Raw genomic sequence first — 21,466 nt, 5'->3', positions numbered from 1 at the left:
AGACGTTGGAATTCTTAGTCTGAGAGGGCAGATTTCCCTGAGAACCTGGGCATTCAGTTGAAACCCCAGAAAGGCCAGCCTCAGGAGTGAGACCTGTACACTACCATAAGGCTGTGTTCTACAACTAAGGACAAATTTGAACTAGACCAGTTCTAACAATGAAAGGTTCAAGAGAATATTTTAGAAATGTAATTTCCTGCCAGAAAAAAACTCAGTACCCTATAAGGAAGACAATATAATGCAGATTCCCTAAATGTGTCGCCCTGTGTTTAGCATACAACAAAAAAATTACTGGATGTGTGAAGAGGAAGCTCCATTAATCAGAAAAAAGCAATAAATAGAAACAGACTTTGAAATAACTCAGACATTAGAATTAGAAAATGAGGAATTTAAAATAACTAGATAAGTATATTCAAGGACTTGACATAAAATGGGTGACATAAAATGAAGAGGCGGGAAATCTCAGAGAAACAAATGTAAACTATAAAAAAGAAACAAATCTATATTATAGAACTGCAAATAATAATTTCCAAAATGAAAAGTTTACTGAATGGCCTTAGCAACATATTAGAAACTACAGAAAAGATCAGGAAACTTTAAGACAGATCAGTAGAAATTGTCTGATCTGAAGAACAGGAGGAAAAAATAGAAAAAATATATGAATCTTCAGTGATCTGTGGGGCAAAAGCGAGAAGTCTAACATTTGTACAATTTGAGGTCCAGAAATGAGGATAGAGAGAATGAGGGAGGAAAAAAAATAGTTTAAAAAAATGAACAAATTTTCCCAAATATAGTGAAAAAATCAAACTACAGGTTGAAGATGTTTAGCAAACCAAAGCAGGATAAAAACAAAGAAAACCATACCTGGATGTATGACGGCCAACTGATAAAAATCCAAAAGTAAAGAAAAAAGCTGCTGAGGATGGGAGGAGTGGAGAGACATTACATATAGGAGAACAACAGTAAGAGTTATTTTAGACTCCTAAATAAAAACTATTCAAGCCAGAAGACAATAGAATGACATTTTTAAATTCTTTTTTTAAATTTAAATTTATTTTATTTTAAATTCTGGGAAACGTGTGCAGGATGTGTAGCTTTGTTACATATGTAAACATTTGCCATGGTGGTTTGCTGTACCTATCAAACCATCACCTAGGTATTAAGCCACACATGCATTAGCTATTTATCCTGATGCTCTCCCTCCCACCGCTGCCCCCCATCCCACCCCAGACAGGCCCCAGTGTGTGTTGTTTCCCTCCCTGTGGCCATGTGTTCTCATTGGTCAGCTCCCACTTATGAGTGAGAACATGCAGTGTTTGGTTTTCTGTTCCTGTGTTAGCTTGTTGAGGATGATCTCTTCCAGCTCTATCCATGCCCCTGCAAAGGACATGATCTAATTCCTTTTTATGGCTGCATAAACAAAACCTAAGTTTTAGATAAACAAAACCTAAGAAAATGTACTGCTAGTCAACCCGCATTATAAGAAATGTTAAAGCAAATTCTTCAGCCTAAAAGAAAGTGAAAGCAAATGGAAACAGATTAACAGGAAGGAATGAGGAGCACAGAAATGGTAAATATATGGAATAATATATATATTTTTAAACCGTCTTTATTTTCTGTTAAGCTCTTACGGGGTAACTTACTATTTAAAGCAAAACTCATGACAATGTATTGAAAGGATTATAATGCAAATAGAAGTAAAACATGTGACAGCATAATGGACAAGGAAGTAATAAATGTCAGGTTCTTATATTTTACATGAGATAGTATAATATTAATTTTAGGTAGATTTTGATAAGATAAGGATGCATATTGTTAGTCCTAGAGCATGCATGCACACACACACACACACACACACACACACACACGCTACAAAGAGGTATAATTAAAAACCCTAATAGTGGTATAAAGATGGAAACTTTAGAAATATGCATTTTAACAGAAAGAAGGCAAGAAAGAAGGAAGAAGGAAACAAAAAAAGATGGCATAAATATTCAGATGGTAGACTTAAAACTGAATTATATCATTACATTAAATATAAATGGACTAAATGTCCCAATTAATAGTCATAGATTGTCAATATGGATACTGTCAGGCCTCTGAGCCCAAGCCAAGCCATCGCATCCCCTGTGACTTGCACGTATACGCCCAGATGGCCCGAAGTAACTGAAGAATCACAAAAGAAGTGAATATGCCCTGCCTCACCTTAACTGATGACATTCCATCACAAAAGAAGTGTAAATGGCTGGTCCTTGCCTTAAGTGATGACATTACCTTGTGAAAGTCCTTTTCCTAGCTCATCCTGGCTCAAAAAGCACCCCCACTGAGCACCTTGCGACCCCCACTCCTGCCAGCCAGAGAACAAACCCCCTTTGACTGTAATTTTCCTTTACCTACCCAAATCCTATAAAATGGCCCCACCCTTATCTCCCTTCGCTAACTCTCTTTTTGGACTCAGCCCGCCTGCACCCAGGTGAAATAAACAGCCATGTTGCTCACACAAAGCCTGTTTGGTGGTCTCTTCACACGGACGTGCATGAAAGATACAAAATAAATAAAACCCAATAATATGCTGACTACAACATATGCACTTTAAATACAAAAACACAAAGAGTTAAAAGTAAAAGGAATACAAATATATGTTATAGAAATAATTTTTAGAAAGCCAATGTGGCTACATCAATTACACAAAGTAAACTTTAAGACAAGAAGGTTTACCAAAGATAAAGAGGGACATATCATAATGATAAAGGGGTCAATTAAGAACAAATAATAATTCCAATTTTTTTTTCAAGACAGAGTTTTGCTCTTGTTGCCCAGGATGGAGTGCAATGGCATGGTCTCAGCTCCCTGCAATCTTCTTCTCCTGGTTTCAAGTGATTCTGCTGCCTCAGCCTGCCAAGTAGCTGGGATTACAGGTGCCTGCCACTACACCCGGCTAATTTTTGTGTTTTTTTTTTTTTTTAGTAGAGATGGGGTTTCACCATGTTGGTCAGGCTGGTCACGAACTCCTGACCTCAGGTGATCCACTTGCCTCAGCCTCCCAAAATGCTGGGATTACAGGCATGAGCCACTGCACCCGGCCAATAATTCTAAATGTTTACTCAACTAAAACTTTAAGAACTTTCAGATATAGGAATCAAGAGCGGGATTTTTTTTTCAATATTGTATTATGAAAAAATTAAACGTATATGAAAACTGAAGTAATTTTATAGTGAACACCCTGTGTAACCACCGCTTGGTGTCTAACATTAACATTCTATTGTGTTTATTATATTACATTTGTACCTATCTGTTACCCCTTCTTTCTATTTGTCAATTCATCAGCTGCAGTGATTTTGAAACTCTACTCTGTAAAGTTCCAGGAATTGTGTGTGTGTGTGTATGTGTGTATTTTGGAAGTGGGGTAGTGTTTTGAGAACACTAGTAGTCCTCATTTGACCAAATAATTTATACTTTTATCTATTATTCTATCTTATATATTGGACTTCTGTTTAGGTTCCCTGAAAACATGGTTTTGTGAGTAAAGGAAAATTTTGAAAGCTTTTATCAAGGGTATTCTGAGGGTAATCCACTCTCCCAATCTAGTTAAGCATAATCTAGAAACCTGACCATGTGTTCCTTGAAGACACTGAGTGAGTGTACCCAATTTGGCAGCTTTTGTGAGAGCAAGGACCATCCTTCATTTTTAATTCCCTTCAGGTTCATGCCTACAGTGAAAAGTCAGTACATCTTGCTGGATGAATGAAGGTGGGCAATGTATTTATTCTATATAATATTGTATTTTGTGGGCACACCTGTGAGAATATGACACAGGTTGGACAGTTCTACCTGGCTCTTAGCTATGTTAATTACCAACTAATTATGAGGTTGTTTTATTTTCAGAACCCCGTTAAGTCCATTTATTAATTAGAATAAGACTATAAATTCCCTCTGTTTAATCCAAATTTCACTATCTGGCATCCCCCAAATCAGAAATGTTAACACTGGAACATTGCTTGCTTTCAAATTAAATAGGTAAGATTTGAAGAGAACTTTGGAGTTTAAGAGGTTACATCTAATGTGTTCTAAATATTAGGACTCGTTTTTCTTCTGATTACACCCCTACAAAGTGCCAAGCCTTTGATAGCTCATTTTGTGTTTTCTGAAGTTCTAGTTCTCCTGGTCACATTCTCCAGCAAGGCCCTGTGTATTAAGTGTAACCAGTAATGGAAAATCCTCTACATAGAATGTACTCAGAAAATTTGAGGAGCTTAAGCACTTGACTTCTCTTTGGAAACACAGTGGATATTTGTGTCGCTACTGTACACAAAGGAGGAGACACTGAGAAATAAAGAAGGTTATCCCAAGTCCCCAGTAAAACAGGATGAGGTTTTTAGGTTTGAGGAAAGTGCCTCATTCACTCCATTCCTGCCTCAGGATACTGAAAGGCAGGTTTCTAGGCTGAGTTTTCTACTGTAGGAAATCCTATTTTTTACTTATCAAGAATGCATTAGAGTTGGAAGAATTACAGTCTTCCTACACCATATGCTAATGTTAATTCCAGCTGGATTAAAGCAATAAATAAATGTATAAAATCAATCATTAGAAACCCAGAATAGAAATGAGTATTTATCCCTACTGGAGTGAGAGGGGACTTCATAAACTTGAAGACAAAGAGAAAGATCGTTTCTGAAAAGAGTAATAGATTTGACTCCATTAAAAATTAAAACTTCTGTTTGCCAAAAAGCAAATCCACACAGTGATAAGTATGTGCCACAGATATGAGGGACAAGTGACTAGGAATCTTAAAAGACCAAGCCAATTGATAACAATGCATGATTACAATGGTTAAATGGGAGGTCAGGCATCCATTGTTTTCCTGCCTAATGCTGTTATTTTCAATTCTTTCTTGCTCAGTGGGAGAACTCAATTGCCCAGGGTCTCTTCCTGCTTGCTTTTCTATCATTCCTATTTCTGAGCCCCAGCAGGGGCCTGGTCTTACATTCCATGGCATTCCCTGCCTGAGGCCTTCTAGCTCTCACATGCAATCTTCAGTGATGTTTTCGTGAGGTCTATTTGGGGATTCCCAGCAATGTTGTTCTGTGCCATTTGTTATTAGGTATGGGTGTTTTATGCTCATCTTTCATTGGACAAATGATTGTTTTATTTCTAGAAAAGAAAATTCATCATGTTCCCCTACTTCCTATCTTGGATGCTTGAAACATACATGTATGTGTATGTTAGTGTGTATATATGTGTGTGTTTGTGTGTTCAAGGTTTTAAGCTAGAAGCGGGTAATGGCTTTAGGAAGTAATGGTGGGGAAATCTGTCACAGCATTATCACATGTTCCCATCTGCTGAAAGCAGAAAAATGATTGTGAGATTGTGATGACCAGAGGGAAGTGATGACCAAGTGAGCCTATGTTCTGAACCAGGTTTCTGTAAATCACATTAAGCAAGTTTCTCCCTGTTACTCCTATGTCCATTTGCAAGGATGAACACTTATAAGTCATGTTTACATTCTACCAACAACCACTCTTTTAACAGGTAGGTCTTGTTCCATTGTACAGCCCCAGAGAAAATATGCATGAACATTCATTCATGTATAAGTACCTTTAAGGAAGAATCTGCTTTGTTCAAGGCACTGTAAAATACACAAAGATAAATTACCAAGATGTTTCAAATCCGTGGATGTACACAAATAATTATAATAAGATCTAAAAGGGTTAATTGCCAAAAAATGAATGGAAATATGCAATTAAAATATAATAAACAGATTTCTGGTCCAGAAAAGATGATGTAGACCCATTTTCCCCTGCTTTTTCCTGCTAAGAACAACTACCAACTCTGGTAATGGTACAAGAGACAACCAAATGAGAGCGCTGAAAGACAGTAAGAATGAGCTGGTTTGCTCACGCCTGTAAGCCCAGCACTTTGGGAGGGCGAGGCAGGTGGATCATGAGGTCAGGAGAGCGAGACCATCCTGGCTAACACGGTGGAACCCCGTCTCTACTAAAAATACAAAAACAAAATTAGCCAGGCGTAGTGGTGGGCACTTGTAGTCCCAGCTACTTGGGAGGCTGAGGCAGGAGAATGGCGTGAACCTGGGAGGCGGAGCTTGCAGTGAGAAGCGATCGTGCCACTGCACTCCAGCCTGGGCGACAGAGCGAGATTCCGTCTCAAAAAAAAAAAAAAAAAAAAAAAAAGAATGAGCTGGCCTCCCTAGGCCTGGAGGAACAGCACAGTAGCAGAGTGTTTAGAGTGTCCCAACCCAACAGAAGATGGTCACCTAGACCGAGTGTTTCCTAACTGAGTGTTTCCTAAGTCCAAGCCTGGCAACAAGAAGCAGCTCAGGGAGGCTGATTTTTTTTTTTTTTTTTTTTTTTTTTCCTGATTGAGCGGATGTCCCTCTGGAACTATCAGACAAGTTCAACGCTACCAGCCAAAGAGATTAATTGGAAGCCTCGCCAAAAATAATTGGCCAGAGGAAGGACTCTGCTCTCCCTCAGCCCTGAGACTCTCCCTTTCCACCAAGAAATACTGAAGTGGGCAGGCAGAACACGTAAAAAAAGAATGAACTATAGCAAATAATACTGTCAGGGAAGCCTCTTTTTCTCTGTGTGCCTCAAATGATCCTCCCCTGTCTAGAGTCACTGGGGCAAGAAGACATAACCAGCAACAAGGATGCAACCACAAAAAGTGGCCAATTCTAGGAAGCCTCTTTGTTCTCACATGCCTGAGACTCTCCTTCCCTGCCCAAAGACACTGAGGCAGATGGCAGACCCCACCGTATTCCTCTCCCACTGAGAGATACCTGAGGCCCAGTGTGGGGAAATCTGTTCTGCCCCACAAGGCAGTGGGGTAGAGGCAGGAACCAGTGGCCTCTTGCAACCAGATTAATCAAGCAGAACAAAATAACACCTCAAAGTCTGTGAAAATTAGAGTGCCACTGGAGCCACAGCTGATAAAAGTAGCCAAGACCCACATGATTAATTTAACAGGGTTACTGACTTACAACGAAAGACTTAAATAGGACCTAGTCTCTCCTATCATAATAGGCAAAATGCCCAGGATTCAATAAAAAATTATCCTTCATACCAAGAACCAAGAAAATCACAAATTGAATGAGAAAAGACAATCAACTGACACAAACACCAAGATGAATCAGATATTGGAATTATCTGACAATAATTTTAAAGCATCTGTCATATAAATGACCTATAAAGCAGCTGCAAATTTTTGATACAATTTTTTAAAATAGAAAATATTAGAAAAGAAATAGAAGTTATAAAACAACTGAATAAAAATTCTAGAAATAAAAAATAACAGAAATAAAAATAGTGCTGGATAGTATTAACGATAGGTTAGACTATCTACTGTTAATTAGAGATAAGAGAGGGTAGAATTACTAAATTTGAGGACAAAACAATGGAATCCACCCAATCAGAGCAATAGACCAAAAATAGACTGAAAAAATGAACAGGACCCCAGAGATCTGTGAGACAATGACAAATGGCCCAACATTCATGTCATTGGAGTCCCAGAAGAGGATAAAGATAATGGGACTGAAAGAGTATTTGATTAGCTGACAGCCAGACATGGTGGCTCATGCCTGTAATCTCAGCATTTTGGGAGGCTGAGGTGGCCATATTGCTTGAGCTCAGGAGTTCAAGACCAGCCTAGGCAAAATGGTAAAACCCTGTCTCTACCAAAAAAAAAAAAAAAAAAAAAAAAAAAAATTAACCAGGCATGGTGGTGCACACCTGTAGTCCCAGCTACTCAGGAGGCTGAGGTGAGAGGATTGGTTGAGCCCAGGAGGCAGAGGTTGCAGTGAGCCTTGATTATGTCACTGCCCTGTATAATAAAGTGAGACTCTGTCTCAAAAAAAAAAAAAAAGAAAAGAAAAGAAAAAAGAAAAAGATAAATTGGGCATGGTGATGCACACCTGTGGTCCCAGCTACTCAGGAGGCTGAGGCAGGAGGATTTCTTGCACCTATGAGGTCAAGGCTGCATGCAGTGAGCTGTGATTGTGCCACTATACTCCAGCCTGGGTGATAGAGGGAGATCCTGTCTCAAACAAACAAATAAACACGAGTATTTGAAGAAATGATGACTGAAAACTTAACTAATTTGGTGAAAGACAGAAACCTACAGCTTCAAGAAGCTGAATGAACCCCACACGTAATCCCAATGAAATCTGTGCTATGATATATCATAATTAATCTTTTAAAAATAAAATATACTGAAGAAATCTTGAAAGCAGTAAGAGAAATGACACATTACCTATAGAGGAATACCAATTCAAATGACAGCAGATTTCTCATAAAATGGAGATGAGAAGGAAATGCCACAATATTTTTCAAGTACTGAAAGAATTATCAACTGTAAATTCTATGTCTGGAAAAACTATACTTCCAGAGTGAAGAGGAAATAAAAACATTCTCAGATGAAGGAAAAGTAAATGAATTTGTTGCTAGCAGACCTACTCTTAAAGATTGGCTAAAGAAAGTTCTTTAAACAGAAAGGAAACAATACAAGATGAAATCTTAGAGGATTAGGAAGGAAGAAAGAACATTGGAAAGACATTTGTGGGTACATACAATAAACTGTTCTTTTCTCTTTGAGTTTTATAAATCATGTTTGATGATTAAAACAAAAATTATAATACCATCTGATACTCAATTCAATGTTATTGAAAAATGGGAAGGACAAGAGATTTAAATGGGAGTGAAGTTTCAAACTAGTTAAATGTTGATAATGTAGCCTGTAACAAGTCACATATTAGGTTTTAGTACTCAGGGAAACCACAGTGAAAACTATACAAAGAAGTACTTCCCAAAACACTGTATATCAAAATGAAATCCTAAAAAATGTTTAGGTTACACACAGGAAGGCAAGAAAAGAGAAACAGAGGAATGAGAACCAGAGGAATCAAATAGAAAACAAGTAATGAAATGGTATAGTGAAATGCTAACTTATCAATAGTTACCTTGAAGGTAAATCATCTAAACACCATCAAAAGACAGAGATAAACAAAGTGAATAATAGAACATAATCTAACTGTATGCTGCCTACAAGAAACTCACTTCAAATTCTATGATTAGTTAAGTTGAAAGTAAAAGGGTGGAAAAACATATATCATACAAATATTAATTTTTAAAAAAACAGGAGTGCTTATACTAGTATCTGATAAAAGTGGACTTTGGAACAAAGAAAATATCTGGAAACAAGAAGGAACATTATATAATGATAAAAGAATGGATCCACCTGGAAGACAAAATGATCTTATGTACATACCAAATAACAGAGCCTCAAAATACACAAAGCAAAAACTGATAGAACTGAAAGAGAAACAAATAAATCATCAATTATATTTCAGGACTTCAATGTCCTCTCTCAACAACAAATAGAACTACTATACAGAAAATCATCAAGAATATAGAAGATTGCGCCATCACAATCAGCAAATAGAATCTAATTGAAATATATAGAATACTCCATCCAACAACAGCAGAATATACTTTTTATCTCAAGCAACCGAAGAACATTCACCAAAATAGATCATATCATAGGCCATAAAAAATGCTTAGCAAATTTTTACAGAATGTGTTATCCATAACAAAAAAATAGCAGAAAAATCTCTAAAACATGAAAATTTATAACACACTTCTAAGTTATCAACAGGTCAAAGAGTAAGTCTTTAAAGGCCTCACATCAATAACCTAAGTTCCTATTTTGAGAAACGAGAAAAATAAAGTAAAAGCAAGTAGACAGAGGAAATAATAAGGATAAAAGAATAAATCAATGGAATTAAAAATAAGAAAAAGGTAGTCAATGAGACAAAGAACAGGTTCTTCTAAAAAATTAATACAATTGATAAACTACTAGCAAAATTGACAATAACAAAATTACCAATACCAGGAAGGAAATAGGAAATATAAATACAGATCCTGTGGTCACTAAAACACAATAAAAATACTATGAACAACTTTACACTCATATATTCAACGAACATAGAAGAAATAGACCAATTTCTAAAAAAAAAAAAAAAACTAGCTAAACTCAGCCAACATGAAATGAACAGCCCTAGCCTAGTCCTATAGCTATTTAAAAAATTGAATTAATAATTAAAAATATCCCAAAAAAGAAATCTCTAGGACTACATTGTTTCACTGGAGAATTATACCAAATGTTAAAAAAAAATAATGCCAATTTTATATTATCTTTTCTAGAAAATAGAAGAGGCAGGAACACTTTTCAACTCATTATTACCCTGATACCAAAACCAGGCAAAGAAGAAGAAGGAGGAAGAGGAAGAAGGGGGAGGGAGGAAAGAAGACTATAGTTCAATGTCTTTTGTAAATTTTGACTCAGAAATTCTTAATGAAATAATAGCAAAGAATAAAAAGAATTATGTAATATGATGAAGTAGGATTTATTATATGCCAGGTATGTAAGGTTGGTTCAACATTTTAAAATTAATTAATGTAATATACCATAGAAATAAGCTACAGAAGAAAATTCATTGAGGAAACACTGGAAGAAATTAAAAATAAAAAAAGTAAATAATATCATCATATAAAAAGGCGTCTGACAAAATCCAACATCTATTTATAATAAAAATTCTCAGCAATTTAGAAATAGTGATGAATTATCTCGACTTGCTAAAGAGCATCCCTGAGATTAGAAACAAGGCCAGGAGGTTCACTCTCATGACTTTTATTCAACCAGTACTGGAAAGTCTAGCCAAAACAATAAGGCAAGAAAAGAAAATAGAAGGCATGCAGTTTGGAAATAAATGAAATAAATCTCTCTTTGTAGATGATATGATTGTCTACATATATAATCCCTAGAAATCTACAACAACAAAAATCCTAGAACAAGTGAGTTCAGCAAGGGTGCAGGATGCATACAACAGTTAATCGTATTTTTACATGCTAACAAAGAATGTGTAGGAACCAATATCAAAAACAGTGTATCAATTACAATAGTTCCAAAGAAAATAAAAGATTCAGGTATACACTTAATAAAACAGGTACAGAGGCCGGGTGCAGTGGCTCATGCCTGTAATCCCTGCACTTTGAGAGGCTGAGGTCAAGAGTTTGAGACCAGCCTGGCCAACATGATGAAACCCCCTCTCTTGTAAAAATACAAAAAATTAGCCGGGCATGGTGGTGGGTGCCTGTAATCCCAGCTACTCAGGAGCCTGAGGCTGGAGAATCACTTGAACCTAGGAGATGGAGGTTGCAGTGAGCCGAGATTGCACCACTGCACTCCAGCCTGGGCAACAAGAGTGAAATTCCGTCTCAGAAATAAATAAATAAATAAGTAAATAAAAACAGGTACAGAGTTTATATAATGAAATTACAAAATGCTGATGAAAGAAATTAAAGACTTAAATGAGTAGAGACTTGGAAGGCTCAGCATGGTAAAGATGTCAGTTCTGCCCAAATTGATCTTTGAGAAATTAAATTTCTAACAAAATTCTAGCAAACTTATTTGATCTCCATTTATATGGAAATGCACAGGACCTACAATAGCTAAAACAATGTTGACATAAAATAAAGTGGGAAGAATCAACCAACCCAACATTAAAGAGATATATATCTCCACCCAATATTAGGGCTATATAGCTATAGTAATCAAACCAACATGGTTTTGGCAGAAGAATATACAAAATGGAACAGAATAGAGGACCCAGAAATAGACTTCCATAAATAGGCTCAAATGATTTTTGACAAAGATGCAAAAGCAACTTAATGAAGGAAGTCCAGCCTTTCAACAAATGATGCTAGAGCATTAGACATCCATTGGGAAAAAAAATGAACATTGATCTAAATCTCATACCTTCATACAAAAATTAACTCAAAGTGGATCATAGAATTAAATGTAAAATAATAACAATTTTAAAAAATAAATGTGGGAGAAAATCTCTGTATGTAAGGCAAGGCAAAATGTTCTTATATAAAATAGTTAGAAATATACCTAACCAAGGAGGTGAAAGACCACTACAAGGAAAACTACAAAACACTACTTAAGGAAATCATAGATGACGCAAACAAATGGAAACATATCCCATGTTCAGGGATGGATAGAATCAATATTGTGAAAATGCCTATATTGCCTAAAGAAATCTTTTTCTTTCAAATTCAAGTCAATTTTCATCAAAATACCACCATCATTCTTCATAGAACTAGAAAAAAACAATCCAAAAATTCATATGGAACCAAAAAAGAGCCCACAAAGCCAAAGCAAGACTAAGCAAAAAGAACAAATCTGGAGGCATCTCATTACCCAACTTCAAACTATACTATAAGACCATAGTCACCAAAACAGCATGGTACTGGTATAAACATAGGCACGGAGACGAATGGAGCAGAATAGAGAACCCAGAAATAAAGCCAAATACTTACAGCCAACCAATCGTCAACAAAGCAAACAAAAACACAAAGTGGGGAACAGACACCCTATTCCACAAATGGTGCTGGGATAACTGGCAAGCCACATGTAGAAGAATGAAACTGGATCCTCATCTCTCACTTTGCACAAAAATCAACTCAAGATGGTTCAAAGACTTAAATCTAAGACCTGAAACCATACAATTTCTAGAAGATAACATTGGAAAACTCTTCTAGATATTGGCTTAGGCAAAGACTTCATGACTACGAAACGAAAAGCAAAAACAAAGATAAATAGATGGGACTTAATTAAACTAAAAAGCTTCTGCACAGCAAAAGAAACAGTCAGTAAACAGACAACCCACAGAGTGGGAGAAAATCTTCACCATTTATACATCTGACAGAGGACCAATATCCAGAATCTATAAGGAACTCAAACAAATTAGCAAGAAAAAAAACAAACAATCCCATCAAAAACTGGGCTAAAGACATGAATAGACAATTGTCAGAAGAAGATATACAAATAACCAACAAACATATGAAAAACTGCTTGACATCACTAATTATTAGGAACATGCGAGTCAAAACCACAATGTAATACTACCTTACAGCTGCAAGAATGGCCATAATCAAAAAATCAAAAAATAATAGATGTTGGTGGGGATGTGGTGAAAAGGAACACTTTTACACTGCTGGTGGGAATGTAAATTAGTGCAGCCACTATGGAAAACAGCGTGGAGATTCCTTAAAGCACTAAAAGTAAAACTACCATTTGATCCAACAATCCCACTATTGGGTATCTACCCAGAGGAAAATAAGCTATTATACAAAAAAGATACTTGCACACACATGTTTATAGCAGCACAATTTCCAATTGCAAAACTATGGAACCATCCCAAATGCCCAACAGTTAATGAGTGGATAAAGAAATTGTGGAACATATATACCATGGAATACTATTCAGCCGTAAAAAAGAAATGAAATAATGATATTCACAGTTACATGGGTGGAATTGGAGATCATTATTCTAAGTAGAGTAACTCAGGAATGGAAAAGCAAATATTCTATGTTCTCACTCATAAGTGGGAGCTAAGCTATGAGGATGCAAAGGCATAAGAATGATACAATGGACTTTGGAGATTCAAGTGAGGGAGGAGGGAGGTGAAGGATGAGAGACGACAAATTGGGTACAGTGTATACTGTTTGGGTATTGGGTGCACCAAAATCTCAGAAACCATGGCTAAAGAACCTATTCATGTAACCAAACACCACCTATTTTTCCAAAACCTATAGAAATAAAAAATAAAAATAAAAAAACAAACCAAAGTGTCCTTAGATTTAACACCAAAGGCATAATCCACAAAAGGAGAATTGCTAGATTCAACTTCATCAACATTAAAACTTTTGCTTTGTGAAAGCCCAACTACAAGGAATGAAAAGTCAATTTACAGGCTGGTTGGAAATATCTGCAAACCACATATTACACAAAGAACTAGTATTTACAATATATAAAGAACTCTGAAAAGTCAAGAGTAAAAAAACCCAAACAGTCCAATTAGAAAATGGGCAAAAAACATGAAGAGACATTTCACTGAAGAGAATGGCAGATGGCAAAAAAAAAAAAAAAAAAAAAGAGCACAATAAAAGATATTCCACATCATTAGCCATCAGAGAAATGCAAATATAAACCATAATGAGATATCATTACCCATCTATTAAAATGGCTAAATAAAAAAAATTGATAAGGAGGGGATTCTGGGAAGATCAAAAAGTAGAAAGCACCAGGAATGTATCTCCTCACCTAGAGAACAACTGCATGGCATAATCTGTCTGATGTAACTATTTTAGAACTCTAGAGTCTATTGAAGGCTTTTAATTTCCAAGAGAAGGCTTGGGCAGTAAATTGCCCTTAACTGTGGTTGACTTTAGCTCTTAGAATAATATCAGCTACTCATACCCCACTCGCAGGCATCCTTGCACAGATTCCAGGAGTAGCCTGCACACAGTTTATGGGAGCCAGGGTGTGCAAAAAGGCCACTGTCATTCAAAAATCAGGAATCTGTTCTCTGATAGCTAATTGTTGCTTCTGATTACAAAGGTGCAGACAGAGCCAGGGGCCATTGTTGTTGCATTTCCTTCCATTGTTGCAAGCCCTTCTTTCTCCAGCTGAAGTGACTTCCAGGGGATTTAAAGGGCTAGCACTCTTTTCCTTTTGTTTTCATTTTTTTTCTTTTCCCCTTTTGTGTTTGGAGCCAGACATTAAAGACTAGTACATTTTAAAGCAGCCACATATACATGGGAAATTAGAAAGTCACCGCTCATACCTAGAGAAAGATGCAGGCTCACAAAAGATGTGAGAAGGACTTAACTTTACATCTCAGGCTTATCCTCAGCACAGAGACAACCTACAACAATTCAGAATGAAAAAGCAAACCCTGGGGAAGGGGAAGGAGAATCTGATTTTCACAGTTATCACATTATTTTATTTCAATGTCCGGTTTTCAACAACAACAACAAAATCACAGCACATAAAAAGAAACAGGCAAGTATGGCACATTCAAAGGAAAGAAAATGAACCAACGAGGTCTGTCCCTGAAAAAGTTATAATTGTGGATCTACTAGACAAAGAGTCTAAAACAAGTATCTTAAAGATGCTCAAAAAACTAAAAGATATGGAAAAAGTAAAAAATAAATGATGTATGAACTAACTAGCAACATCAATACAGAGATTCAGAAAAAGTAAAAATAGAACGAGAAATTTTTCAGTTGAAAAGTATAATAACTGAAATGAAAAATTCACTGGAGATATTCAAAGGCATATTTGAACAGGTAGAAGAAAGAGTCAGTAAACTTGAAGATAGGACAAGGAAATTATGAGTCTTAGGAACAGAAAGAAAAAATATTGAAGAAGAAGGAACAGAGCTGCTGGACACCATGAAGCAGACCAACATACCCATTGTGAGAGTTCAGAAGCTTAAGAAGAGAGAGAAAGAATAGAGAGATTATTTGGAGACATAATGGCCAAAAGCTTCCCAAATCTGATGCAAGACATAAACATAAAAATCCAAGAAGCTCAATGAATTCCAAATAGGATGAACTCAAAGAGATCCACCCCAAGACACAAGACACAGTATACTCAAACTGTTGAAAGACAAAGAGAGAATCTTGAAAACAACATGAGAGAAGCAACTCATTATGTAGAAGGAATCATCAATACGATTATCAGAATTATTGTCAGAAATGTAGGAGTCCAGAATGCAATGGGCTGACATAGTCAAAGGGCTACAGAAAGAACAAAACAAAACAAAAAAAACTGCCAACCAAGAATCCTACATTCAGCAAATTGTCCTTCAAAAGTGAGTAAGAAATTAAGGCATTCTCATATTAAAAAAAAAAAAAAAGCTGAGGAAGTTTATTACCACTACACATGCTCTGTAAGAAATGCTAAAATGAGTTCTACAGGTTGAAATGAAAGGACACTAATAGTAACTTGAATCTTAGTTAAGAAATAAAGTTCTCCGTAAAGGTAAAAATGTGGGCAATTATAAAAGCTAGTATTATTGTAATAATGCTTTGTTAACTCCATTTTTTTTCTACATGATATGAGACTAATTTTTTTAAATTATTAGTCTAAAAGCTAGTATTATTGTAACTTTGGTTTGTAACTCCACATTTTGTTTTCTACATAATTTGAGAAGCTAATACATCTTTTAAAATATCAGTTTATATTTTAGAGCATATTGCATGAAGATGTTAATTTTTTGTCATCAATAATTTAAAGAAGTGGGGACAGAGAAGTAGAGGAGCAATGTTTTTGTATGTTATTAAAGTTAAGCTGGTATAATTCCAAATTAGAATCGATAACTTTAGGATATTAAATATAATCCCTGTGGTAACTACAAAGAAAATAGATATACACAAGGGGAAATGAGAAAGGAATTTAAATGTTTCACTACAAAAAATAAACTAACCACACAAGAAGACAGTGATGCAGGAAATGAGGGACAGAAAAAAACTGTAAGGTGTGTAGAAAATCAATAGCAAAATGGGACAGAAGGAAGTCCCTCCTTATCAGTTGGCCTTAAAAAGGAAGTAAATTCTGACATATGCTACAACATGATTGAAACTTGAGGACATTATGCTAAGTGAAATAAGACAGTCACGCAAAGACAAATACTGTATGATTTCATCTATTTGTGGTGCTTTGAGTATTCAAAATCGTAGAGACAGAAAGTAGAATGGTGGCTAGGGGCTGAGGAGAAGTAGGAATTGAGAGTTGTTAAATGGTATAGAGTTTCAGTTTTGCAAGATGAAGAGTTCTGGAGATAGATAGGTGGTGATGGTTGTAACAATATGAATGTACTTAATACTACTGAAATATACACTTAAAATTGTTAAGATGCTAAATTTTATGTTATGTATGTTTTACCACAAAAAAATTGGAAAAAAATAATAATAACGCCAAATGCTGGCAAGGATGCAGAAAAATTGGATCAGGAAAATTGGATACATTGTTATGAAATGTACCTAAAGGCAGGCCATGTGATTAAACCACCTAAGGGATGGTGGTGGATATGGAATCTGATCAGATATTGAGGGTAATCCAATATTGAAGATGAAGGGTTCTGGATAAACCAGTCTAAGAGGATTCTTGCTAAAATTGGGCAATACAGAGAAAGACACAGAAGTCCAAAAGTTAAGGCCTGATTAGGGAGAGAATCAGAGGAGCCTGATTAACGTTTGGTCAAGGAGAGACTCTTGGTCAATAGCAGTACTTTCACTGTACACAGATGGTACATAATACATATTTATTGAATGGATAAGTGACTTACCATCATTTCACCACTAGATGATTCCTTTAGTCATTGACTATCTGCCAGACACCTAAGTTTGCAAAATGAGAAATCAAAGGACCCAGGACAAGGAGCTCATTTTGCCTTAGTGCAGCATTGACAACCTCCCATTTGAGGTCAGTGTTTCCCAAGGGGGATCTATTGGCATTCTGGGCAGGAAAAGTCTTCGCTCTGTGGTGCTAACACACTACAGAACTTTTAGCAACATTTTGAGAACTCTCCAAATGTCAGTTTTGCCCTCCAATTGCTGAGACATCAAAGAAATGTCCTCACCTCCTCCATTTCCTAGTGCCTCCTAGGGATACTGGTTGAGAATCAGCACTTTGTCTCTTTCTAATTATTATAGCTCCAAGAGAACTTAAGGATAAACATAATTCATGAGCTACATTTCATATCCTCCCGTGGCATGGTTGCATGTATGTTATAAAAAGAAATAGGACTTCCTTGCCTTCTGAGTGGCTCTAAGTTTGAGTTTGAATTTGTCTAAAGTATTCATTTGGCTTTTATTTGTCCTGGATGTTTTTTTTTGTGTGGACATAAAAAAATTCCCTTTCAGAAAAATGCTGCTGAGCACATACCATATAGCACTCTGCAAACCACCTCTTTCAATCTCAATAGAAGAAAAATATTTGAAAGGGAAAAGTATTACTGGATTATTTTTGTCAATGTGCAAAATCTCTTGAAAGGACAATTTTCTCTTGTTGACTAGCAGAAACACAGCAGTGTTAATTAAGTTGCCTTGTTAAATCTGAAAGAATGTACATAGTTAACGTTGGAAACCCTTCTAATTGCCTTTGTGGAAAGACATCAAAGGGATCTACAAGCATCTTGTTTAGAGAAGTGCTGAGGCTTGAGCTTGGGCCAATGGGACCTTTGGGAAAAACTCCTGGGGAGGTGGAGGGTGGAGAAAGCCAGAATTATCATTTCACGTATTGAGCGCTTGACAAGTTTGTTTCCTTTTCCTCCATTCCCTTTGGAGAGAGGAGGAGGATGTGCGTTTGAATGGAGAGTCTGTAGAGGTGCCCCAATTCATTTGGGTGCGGGCGTCCTCATACTTGCTATCTTGGCCCATGGTAGCAGGTTAGCCTTCTAGCTGTGGGAAGAGGAAAAACAAATCTTGCCCCCAGTAATAGAGTTCTTTCAAAAGACCCCAGGCAAAGTATGCAGCTTATATAGAAAACAATAAACACAAAATGATGATTTGCATTAAAAAATGAAAACACTGTTGCTTTCCCATAAATCTAGTTCTGGGATAGGAATTTGGGGTGAAGAGAGAGCCCCAGAAGTGTAGAAGAATGACATTTGAGGTAACAACAGGAGTTCAGAGGTCCTGCTTTTGTACCCTTCTTGAGTTTCAGATGAGATAAAACCAGCAGCTCTGCTAAGATGCAGTGCAAAGGCTTACATGGCTTCTTGAGAAAAGCAATTTATTTTAGATTATAGCACAGCAGCTATCGTTTAAACTGCTAGGGATTGTAATTGAACTCAGAACCAACCTTTTCTGTGAACACAGGGTGCAGTAATAAGTTTACCCAGGCTGTTCTAAATAACATGGACACCAGGCTTTCAGGACAGAAAGGCGTAGTAGCCAAAACGTGGAGTCACTAGTGTCTTGCCAACCTTCCAACAACTAACCCCTTCCAAAATACATTCTGGGAAATGTACCTAGCTGTGCATCCAAATATACACTTGCTGTCTGCTTTCTGTGATATTAACATCAAATGGCTAGGAGACAGCAATCTTGGGGATGTGAGAGAATATGCAATTAGCACTTGGGGACTTTTGTTCAATTCCCATCTTATCTAGGGTCATGACAGAGCTTGGGGTGGGGAGTTCGAGGAGAATACAGAATAAATAAAACTGTTCCTCTTGATACTGGATAATCTTTGATTTGATAATGAAGGTGATGTGCTTACCCTCCAAACCCCCGAATGTCATCCTGTCATTAAGCCCTAATGAAAGCTTAATTGTTCTGTCGAGATAAAATGATGTGTCTCATTTCCGTACACTGCATTTGCTCTCTCCTCGTTATAAATAAATCCAGTTATACTTTATTCGCTATTCCTCCAGCGTGTCCAGTGGCTTAGAAGACAGCATTTCATACAGGCTCAATTATGCGTTGTTGTTTTTAGTAAAAGAGCTTGTAACAATGTACTTGCTTTTTATAATCATAATTTGGAATTGTTTTTTATGAAAGCAAAAATAAGCACGTAGTTAAAAATCAAATGGTTTTGAAACACCTGTAGTGCAAAGTAACAGTTCCCAGTCCCACCCTTCCCACCTCCAGCTGAGCTCCCTAAATGCAATCACTTTTCAACATTCCTGGTCTTACTTCCATATTGCTAGTTAACACTTATTTATTTTTTATGTTATCTACTGATTTTCTTCTAAAGACAAGAAGTATTTGCCTTACACTAACTTACACTAAACTTTTCACATGCTCCCACCATAACATGACATTATTCTCAACTTCTATTGGGCTTGCCACTTCTAAATTGTATTTATACCTCCCCTGATTGGTCCATCAATCTAGCCTGTGTCTCTTGCCTCCACACATCACAGGATGAGATATGGGCACTCAATACCCTTTTCTTCACTGCTTTTCTTTTCCTTCCACTTTCCATTCTCGGTCAGCTATATACCATTATTTTTGCATTGTCAAATTTAATTGACATTTGCTCTGTCACCAGAGTAGTCTTTTTTTGTGATTTTTCCAAAGTTGGAAATAATGAAAATATTTGCACAATTAAGATTTGCTAAATTATTTAGTGCAGCCCCACATGGTCTCTGTCACAATTCCTGTGATACTCAAAGACATTGTGTCTAGAATCAGGTGCAAATGGATTCTCTTCCTTTAAATCATTTTATCAAAATCATTCCACCTTTTAGTTTCTGTAATATATATTTCAAGTTTTTCTTATAAAGTTATTTTTGTTTGTTTTTGCTGGAATTTCTGATGTCCTATTGCCTTTTCTGAGTATATACCTCAATAATATCTTCAAGTTTTTTCAAGCTCATAATTACACTCTTTGTTCTATTGGTCCTGTCTCTTACAGACCTCCATTTTGCTCCCATTTGGACAGGTGGCTCTGTAGACATGCTGTGTAGAATCATCCTGAGATGTCCCCATTGCTCTCCAGGGTTGGAGTCACTGTTTGCTGGATTGAATGGGTTTTCTTTCTTTTCTAATTTGCCTTCTGATTTTGCTATTAACTTCCTAAGAAAGGGTGTGTATTAGGCCATTTTTGCATTGCTATAAATACCTGAGACTGGATAATTTATAAAGAAAAGAGGTTTAATTGGCTCATGGTTCTGCAGGCTTTACAGGAAGCACGGTGCTGGCTCGGCTTCTAGGGAGGCCTCAGGAAGCTTACAATTATGGCGGAAGGGGAAGTAGGCACATAATGTGACGAAGACAGGAGCAAGAGGGAGAGAGAGTGGGGAAGCGAGGTGCTACACAATTTTAAACCACCAGATCTCATGTGAACTCAGAGCAATAGCTCACTTGTCACCAAGGAAATAGCCCAAGCCATTTATGAGGGATCTGTCCCCATGATCCAAACACCTCCCACCAGGCCCCACCTCCAGCACCGGGGATTACATTTTGAAGAGATTTGGGCAGGAACAAATATCCAAGCCATATCAGGGTGAATGGGAGGTAAACTTTCTGCATGCTTGCAGGTTTAGAATTTTTTATTTTGCCCTCAAAAGACAATTGATAGTTTGGGTGTAGACTTCTCTGTTGAAAATCCTTTTTCCTGTCTTTTAGTATGCAATCCTGCTGCTGCTAAGTCTGATGCTACTCTGATTCTTATTTTGTAGGCCACCTTCTTTTTTTTTTTACTTTTCAGGAAATTGTTAGGAATTTCATTTTTCTACCACTTTACAGTTAATTATTCTTGGTATCAAGTAGATTCCTATACTTTGAACATTCATCTTTCTCTTTAACTCTGGGGAATTTTACCATGCAATCTCTTTGATAATTCCCTCCACTCCAGTTTCTTTTTTTCTTATTGTGAAAATTTGGTTAGTCATCCTTAGACCTCCTGAATTGTTCATCTATATATTTTATTTTTTTCTCACTTACTTCTGTACTTGGTCTATAGTCTAGGAGATTTTTTCCAACGTTGCCTACAAACTTTCTATTGAATTTTTTACTTACGCATTTATAAAATTCCAAAGAGCTCTTTCTTATCTGATTATTCCTTTTCAATAGAACCCTGTTTTTGTTTT

The 21,466-nt window shown here is 36.6% G+C and overlaps 1 protein-coding gene across 6 annotated transcripts in view, besides 3 other annotated features; it reads left to right on the top strand.

Annotated features, from left to right (window-relative positions):
• The window catches only part of FHIT (fragile histidine triad diadenosine triphosphatase), a 1,504,176-nt gene that overhangs the window by 576,710 nt on the left and 906,000 nt on the right, over window positions 1–21,466 (top strand). The window lies entirely within an intron of this gene.
• Window positions 1,868–2,691: an enhancer, noted in NCBI's record as "OCT4-NANOG hESC enhancer chr3:60657785-60658608 (GRCh37/hg19 assembly coordinates)". NCBI's record gives its function as "activates a minimal SCP1, AML or CMV promoter by ChIP-STARR-seq in naive and primed H9 embryonic stem cells {active_cell/tissue: H9 hESC(naive and primed)}" and the evidence as "EXISTENCE:reporter gene assay evidence [ECO:0000049][PMID:30033119]".
• Window positions 4,442–5,212: an enhancer, noted in NCBI's record as "OCT4-NANOG hESC enhancer chr3:60655264-60656034 (GRCh37/hg19 assembly coordinates)". NCBI's record gives its function as "activates a minimal SCP1, AML or CMV promoter by ChIP-STARR-seq in naive and primed H9 embryonic stem cells {active_cell/tissue: H9 hESC(naive and primed)}" and the evidence as "EXISTENCE:reporter gene assay evidence [ECO:0000049][PMID:30033119]".
• Window positions 14,286–14,787: an enhancer, noted in NCBI's record as "NANOG hESC enhancer chr3:60645689-60646190 (GRCh37/hg19 assembly coordinates)". NCBI's record gives its function as "activates a minimal SCP1, AML or CMV promoter by ChIP-STARR-seq in naive H9 embryonic stem cells {active_cell/tissue: H9 hESC(naive)}" and the evidence as "EXISTENCE:reporter gene assay evidence [ECO:0000049][PMID:30033119]".

Source organism: Homo sapiens, chromosome 3 (genome assembly GCF_000001405.40).
Source record: "Homo sapiens chromosome 3, GRCh38.p14 Primary Assembly".
Taxonomy (NCBI): Eukaryota; Metazoa; Chordata; class Mammalia; order Primates; family Hominidae; genus Homo; species Homo sapiens.
This window is presented reverse-complemented; position numbering and strand designations above follow the sequence as displayed.